General features: G+C 44.4%; 1 annotated feature.

Annotated features, from left to right (window-relative positions):
• Nucleotides 4017-4311: a silencer, noted in NCBI's record as "tiled region #2897; K562 Repressive non-DNase unmatched - State 24:Quies". NCBI's record gives its function as "represses a minimal TATA promoter and a strong SV40 promoter by Sharpr-MPRA in K562 cells {active_cell/tissue: K562}" and the evidence as "EXISTENCE:reporter gene assay evidence [ECO:0000049][PMID:27701403]".

A 6480-nucleotide genomic window follows, 5' to 3' on the forward strand; every position in this document is an offset into this window, starting at 1 on the left:
TTCACCATGTTAGCTGTGCTGGTCTCAAACTCCTGACTTCAAGTGATCTGCCCGCCTTGGCCTCCCAAAGTGCTGGGATTACAGGAGTCAGCCCCTGCACCTGGCCCAAAACTAGTGTTAATGAGAATCTAAATCCCCATTAGACTACCTGCTTGTTGTGGGCACCTCCCTGGCCTTCATTTACTTTGCAGATTCTTTTAGTCACTCTTGGACTTTTCTTTTTCCTGCATACTGCTTTAAAAGATTTCTAAAAGGAATAGGAGCACAAAGGATATTGCCTTGCTATATTTTGTTGAACCCTAATTGTGTCGGAAAAAACTCAAACCATCTGTCTGCTGTTCTCACACCACAACAACAACGAACACAGAAGACTTCTGTGAGCAAATGTGTGGGAGTTTCTCCCCACACACCATGCAAGCAATCAGTTTTGCAGTGGATCCCAGCTGTATAGCATCAGAAACCACAGGATGAGGGTTCCATCTCACAAGTCTGCCCCCTCTCCTTCCCACCAGTCATGAATCTAGGCCCCTGGAACATCTGACCAACCAGCTTTAACTTGGGGTTTTCACAACCCCCGATTTGGGTTGGATTAATTTGTTAGAGCAGCCCACAGAACTAGGGAAATACTTATATTGACCAATTTAATGCAAAGGATATCTTAAAGGACACAAATAAACAGCCACATGAAGAGATACACAGGATGAGTTCTAGAAGAGTCCTTGAGTGCGGCAGTTTTGTCCCTGTGAAGTTGGGGACATTCTCTTGGCACATGGATGAGTTCTTGTGCACTTCCCTGAAAGCTGGGGGATGGAGCTGAAAGTCCCATCCCCTCTAACCCTGCCTTGTTCCTTCTGGTGACCAGGCCCCCATCCTGCAACTACCTAGGAACTGCCAGCCTTGAGTCAACTCAGTGTATGAAAGACACTTATCACTTTGAATATTCCAAGGATTTTAGGAGTTGTGTGCCAGCACACACGGTCAAAGACCAAATATATATTTCTCAGTATCATACAAATACAAATCCTTCCCAGTGAACTGCAATCAACTGGCTCGTGAGAATCAGGATCATTAGCAACCCAAGAATGTTTCTTGAGTTCCTGCACTCTCCTCATGCAGAGCTCCTGCCCAGTCATTGTTCTAGCTGCTTCATTGCTCCCTTCGTAAGGGAGACACTATGTCCTGACAAAGCATTACTTGCCCAAAGTAATGTCCTGTACTCTGTCTGTTCTTTAGAAAATTAGCATTACACTGTCACATGTTCACCTTTTACTATCCCAGATGTTATCTCTGAATTCAGGATTAGTTTTAGTTAATAGGACTTTAAAACTTTTGCTGGGGTGGGAGGGTAGGTGAGTATACTGGAGTGTAGAACCATATTCCAAAGCTCAACAAGACAACAGCAAAGCCTCACTCATTGTTTAATTTAGAATAAGGTGGGACATGGTCTTCTATGTGAAGGAAAAAAGGCACTTGGTATAATTCTGACTTTCCTAGGAGTCAGGGGTTTCCAGATTGGCCTCTCTCTTTTATTTTTTTGAGACAGGGTCTCACTCTGTTGTCCAGGCTGGAGTCCAGTAGCATAATCATGACGAACTGCAGGCTCTACCTTCTGGGCTCAGGTGATCCTCCCACCTCAGCCCCCCAAGTAGCTGGGGGACTATAGGTGCGTGCCACCAGGCCTGCTAATTTTTTTTTTTTTTTTTTTTTTTGGAGAGATGAGGTTTTACCATGTTGCCAGGCTGTTCTCAAACTCCTGAGCTCAAGTGATCCATCTGCCTTGGCCTCCCAAAGAGCTGTGATTACGGCATTAGCCACCGCCACCATGCCCAGACCAGATTGGCCTATTATTGATGTCCAAGCTCCTTCAGAGAGAACCTTAATGAGAGCTCCATACCTTGGGCAATATGTACATTTTAACACTTCAAGAAGGAAAAGTGATAAACTTCCCAGATAGATTTCCTGCTCCACAAACTGACAATAATGTCCCAGAGTTCATACGATGTAGCCATAAAACACTGGAGTGTTGTTTCTGTAAGAAGAACACCTCTGTCATGGCGTCCATCTGTAGAAACCCTGCCCTGTATCATAAGCCTGGATCCTCTGCTTAGATGCAGACAATCCCTTAATATGGACGTCAGATCCATTACTTAATTCTTGAACCACTGGGGAATTAAAGACCAAGAGTACTCATGAGGCCAGGCATGGTGGTCCTCACCTGTAATATTAACGCTTTGGGAGGCCAAGGCAGGAGGATTCCTTGAGCCCTGAAGTTCAAGACCAGCCTGGGCAACATAGGGACGCCTTGTCTTTACGAAATATAAAAATAACTTAGCCAATTGTCAGTGAGCCGTGATCATCAGATCACTTCCTTCCAAACTACGCAACAGAGCGAGACTGTTTTTCTTTTTTTAAAAAAAGAGTGCTCATGGAACAGTTGGCCTCAGAGCAATGTCTCTTGTTAAATTGTTGGCAACCACAATATCAGCTTGCTGTTCCCTTATAGGCATAGACCAAAATTTGCTTCTCCAGTTTCCTGAAATAACTTCCTGGTCTAATCTAATCTTGCCAATCCCTTAAGGGCCAGCTCAAACCCCATCATCACTGGTTCCATAAAGGCATTCCCAATTACCTCTCTCTAGCCACAGCCTGCAGTCTTAAGCTGTCTTATTTCCTTCTTCTTTAGAATCTAATTCAAACTCCCCACACCTGCCTTTGTTCTTGGTCTATATTTTGGAGGTTTTTTACCTCTTCTTGTCTCTTCCTCTTTCTCCCTAACATCTTTCTGATTTCTGGGGCTCTGGACCTTGTGTCTCATTTCCTGTATCTAGCCTTACACTTGCCCCTGGTATCTGATACTGATATGGCTTCTCTGGAAATGACCAGAGCTCCCTTCTTTGGCTCCAATATTGGTACTTGCCTTTTGGATTTTGTCCACTAATGAAAGATCTGGATACTTTGCCTGACTCACTCCATTCCTGGAACTTACCTCAGTGCTGACCTCTAAGGCCAGCTAGTTTCTGGTCCTGTACAAAGGAAACTGAACAAGCATAGCAAGTAATGTATTTTCCTTTGGCTAAATGTCTTACCCCAGGTAGACAGTAACTCTCCTGATGTGGGACCACAAATCATAAAATAGGGAAGGCCTAGCCTCGTAAGTTTTGGAGTTAGATGTTTCTGAGTTCTAATCGCAGCTTGCCATTGAATTCATTTACTTATTATGATCTTGGGCAAGTAATGAGCCTTTTTGAACCTCAGTTTTTTTCGTATCAGTTAAATGGGAATAATAATAATAGTACCTAATAGGATTAATGCGACGATTAATGAACAATAAAGCGAAACTTTGAAATGTTAACAAAATCCTTTCACACTAGTACAAACTCTAATGCTTGGTCCAAGGATGGTGTGGGGGGTGTGTGTGTGTGTGCGTGTTACTAGGAAAAAATTTCCAAGAACTGTCAGGGTCTATGCAGAATATCCGGCACACACAAAGCACTCAATAAATGTAAGCTTAAAAAAGAAAAGCAGGCCAGGTGCGGTGGCTCACACCTGTAATCCCAGCATTTTGGGAGGCCAAGGTGGACAGATCACTTGAGGTCCGGATTTTGAGACCAGCCTGGCCAACATGGTGAAACCCCATCTCTACTAAAAATACAAAAATTAGCCAGACATGGAGGTACGCTCCTGTCATCCCAGCTACTCGTGAGGCTGAGGCAGGAGAATTGCTTGAATCCAGAAGGCAGAGGTTGCAGTGAGCTGAAATCGCATCACTGCACTCCAGCCTGGGTGACAGAGTGGGGACTCTGTCTCAAAAAAGAAAAGAAAAGCAATAGAAGATTGAAAGTCAATAGATGGGGCCAGGCATGGTGGCTCATGCCTGTAATCCCTGCACTTTGGGAGGCCGAGGCAGGTGGATCACCTGAGGTCAGGTGTTTGAAACCAGCCTCACCTACATAATGAAACCCCGTCTCTACTAAAAGTACAAAAAAAATTAGCCGGGCATGGTGATACACGCCTGTAATCCCAGCTACTTGGGAGGCTGAGGCAGGAGAATTGCTTGAACCTGGGAGGCAGAGGCTGCAGTGAGCCTAGGCTCACTGCACTCCAGCCCGGGTGACAACAGTGAGAGACTCCATCTCAAAACAAAGAGAAAGTCAACAGATGGATCACCATCCTTCCAGATCAGAAAAACAGGCTGGGGCAAAGGGCAATTGCTTACGCTTACCTTACCGATTTTTCCAGGGTTTAAGCGTGCTGTGAAAATTTAAATTTCTTTCTTTCTTTCTTTCTTTCTTCTTTCTTTCTTTCTTTCTTTCTTTCTTTCTTTCTTTCTTCCTTCCTTCCTTCCTTCCTTCCTTCCTTCCTTCCTTCCTTCCTTTCTTCTTTCTTTCTTTCTTTCTTTCTTTCTTTCTTTCTTTCTTTCTTTCTTTCTTTCTTTCTTTCCTCCTTTCTTTCTTTTTGAGATGGAGTCTCGCTGGGTGCAGTGGCTCATGCCTGTAATCCCAGCATTTTGGGAGGCCAAGGTGGGCAGATCTCCTGAGTTTAGGAGTTCAAGACCAGCCTGGGCTGGCCAGCATGGCTTAACCCTGTCACTACTAAACATACAAATTTTTCTTTCCTTTTTTTTTTTTTTTTTTTTTTTGTGACAGAGTCTCTCTCTGTCACCCAGGTTGGAGTGCAGTGGCGTGATATCAGCTCACTGTAACCTCCACCTCCCTGGTTCGAGCGATTCTCCTGCCTCAGCCTCCTAGGTGTGAAAGCCCAGTGACAGCTTAGTAGAGGAGATAGTTGGGGTATGGACTCTGGATTACTTGACTTACATGTAAAAGGTAAACTTTACTAGGTTTACCTAGTAAAGGTAAAAAAAAAAAAAAAGGTAGGTGAGTCCTTTACTATTTCTAGGAATTGGCTAGCCGTTAGAGGGTCAGTCCCTCCAGGGTGCAGAAAACCGCCCGTGTCAAAGCACCCAAAACCCTTGGTTAACACAAGTTTCAACAATCATTGTCAGAGCCAGGGACTGTATTAGTTTGCGAGAGCTGCTATAGCAAAATAACACAGACTGAGTTCCTTATACAGCTATGAGAAATTTGTTTTCTCACAGTTTTGGAGGCTAGAAGTCCAAGATCAAGGTGTTGGCAAGGTTAATTTCATTCTGAGGACTCTCTCCTTGCCTTGCAGATGGTCACCTTCTTGTTGCATCCTCACATGGTCTTTTCTTTGTGCATGCACCTCTCTGGTGTCTCATTGTGTGTCCAAATTTCCTCTTAGTATGAGGACACCAGTCAGATTAGATCTGGGCCTAACTTAACAGCCTCATTTTAACTTCATCTCTTTAAAGACCCTGTCTTTAAATATAGTCACACTCTCAGGTACCGGGGGTTAGGGCTCCAACAGTTGATTTTTAGGAGGACACCTTTTTGATCACCTGAAAACAAGAGATGGATTTGGGGCCGGTCGCAGTGGCTCATGCCTGTAATCCTAGCAATTTGGGAGGTCAAGGGGGGTGGATCACCTGAGGTCAGGAGTTTGAGACCAGCCTGACCAACATGGCGAAACCCCGTCTCTACTAAAACTACAAAAATTAGCTAGGCATGGTGGCACTGCCTGTAATCCCAGCTATTTGGGGGGCTGAGGCAGGAGAATCGCTTGAACCTGGAGGGTGGAGGTTACAGTGAGTGGAGATCGCATGACAAGAGCGAAACTCCATCTCAAAAAAAAAAAAAAAGACACAGATTTGGTAGAGGGAAAGATACACTCATGAGGACTATGAGGTAGCAACATTTGGGTAGTATGTGAATATGACCTCACTCATATCTATGAGCTTTGGGGGCCTAGACAAATTTAGAGTGCAGAGGTGTTTGCTTATGTGAAAGAATATCAATAAATCTATATGGCCAGGAACGGTGGCTCACACCTGTAATTCCAGCACTTTAGGATGCCAAGGTGGGCAGATCACCTGAGGTCAGGAGTTCAAGACCAGCCTGGCCAACATGGTGAAACCCCGTCTCTATTAGAAATACAATTAGCTGGGCATGATGGCGCATGTCTGTAATCCCAGCTATTCAGGAGGCTGAGGCAGCAGAATCACTTGAGCCCAGGAGGCAGAGGCTGCAGTGAGCCAAGATCGTGCCATGAACTCCAGCTTGGGCAACAGAGTGAGACTCTGTCTCAAAATAAATAAATAAATAAATAAAATAAATCTATACTGAATCAAGATTCAATCAATACCAAAGGCCAATGTCCATAACTCCAGGGGGATCAAATCCCCTTTCAAAAGCACATCAATCATATTTACTTGCATTAATAGTTAACGCCCTGACAATGTAGAGCCTGGGTCCTCTCTTTGACAGCAACAGTTCATGCAGATATTGCAGAGAAAGAGGGCCAACAGGCTTGACTGTCTGAAAGAGAGTACATGATATACAGGTTTTAAAGTTCAATGGACCAACAAATTGGCCATTGACTTCTTTCTCCTCTTCCCTG

The sequence above is a fragment of the Homo sapiens genome, chromosome 3 (genome assembly GCF_000001405.40).
Source record: "Homo sapiens chromosome 3, GRCh38.p14 Primary Assembly".
NCBI classification, from domain to species: Eukaryota; Metazoa; Chordata; class Mammalia; order Primates; family Hominidae; genus Homo; species Homo sapiens.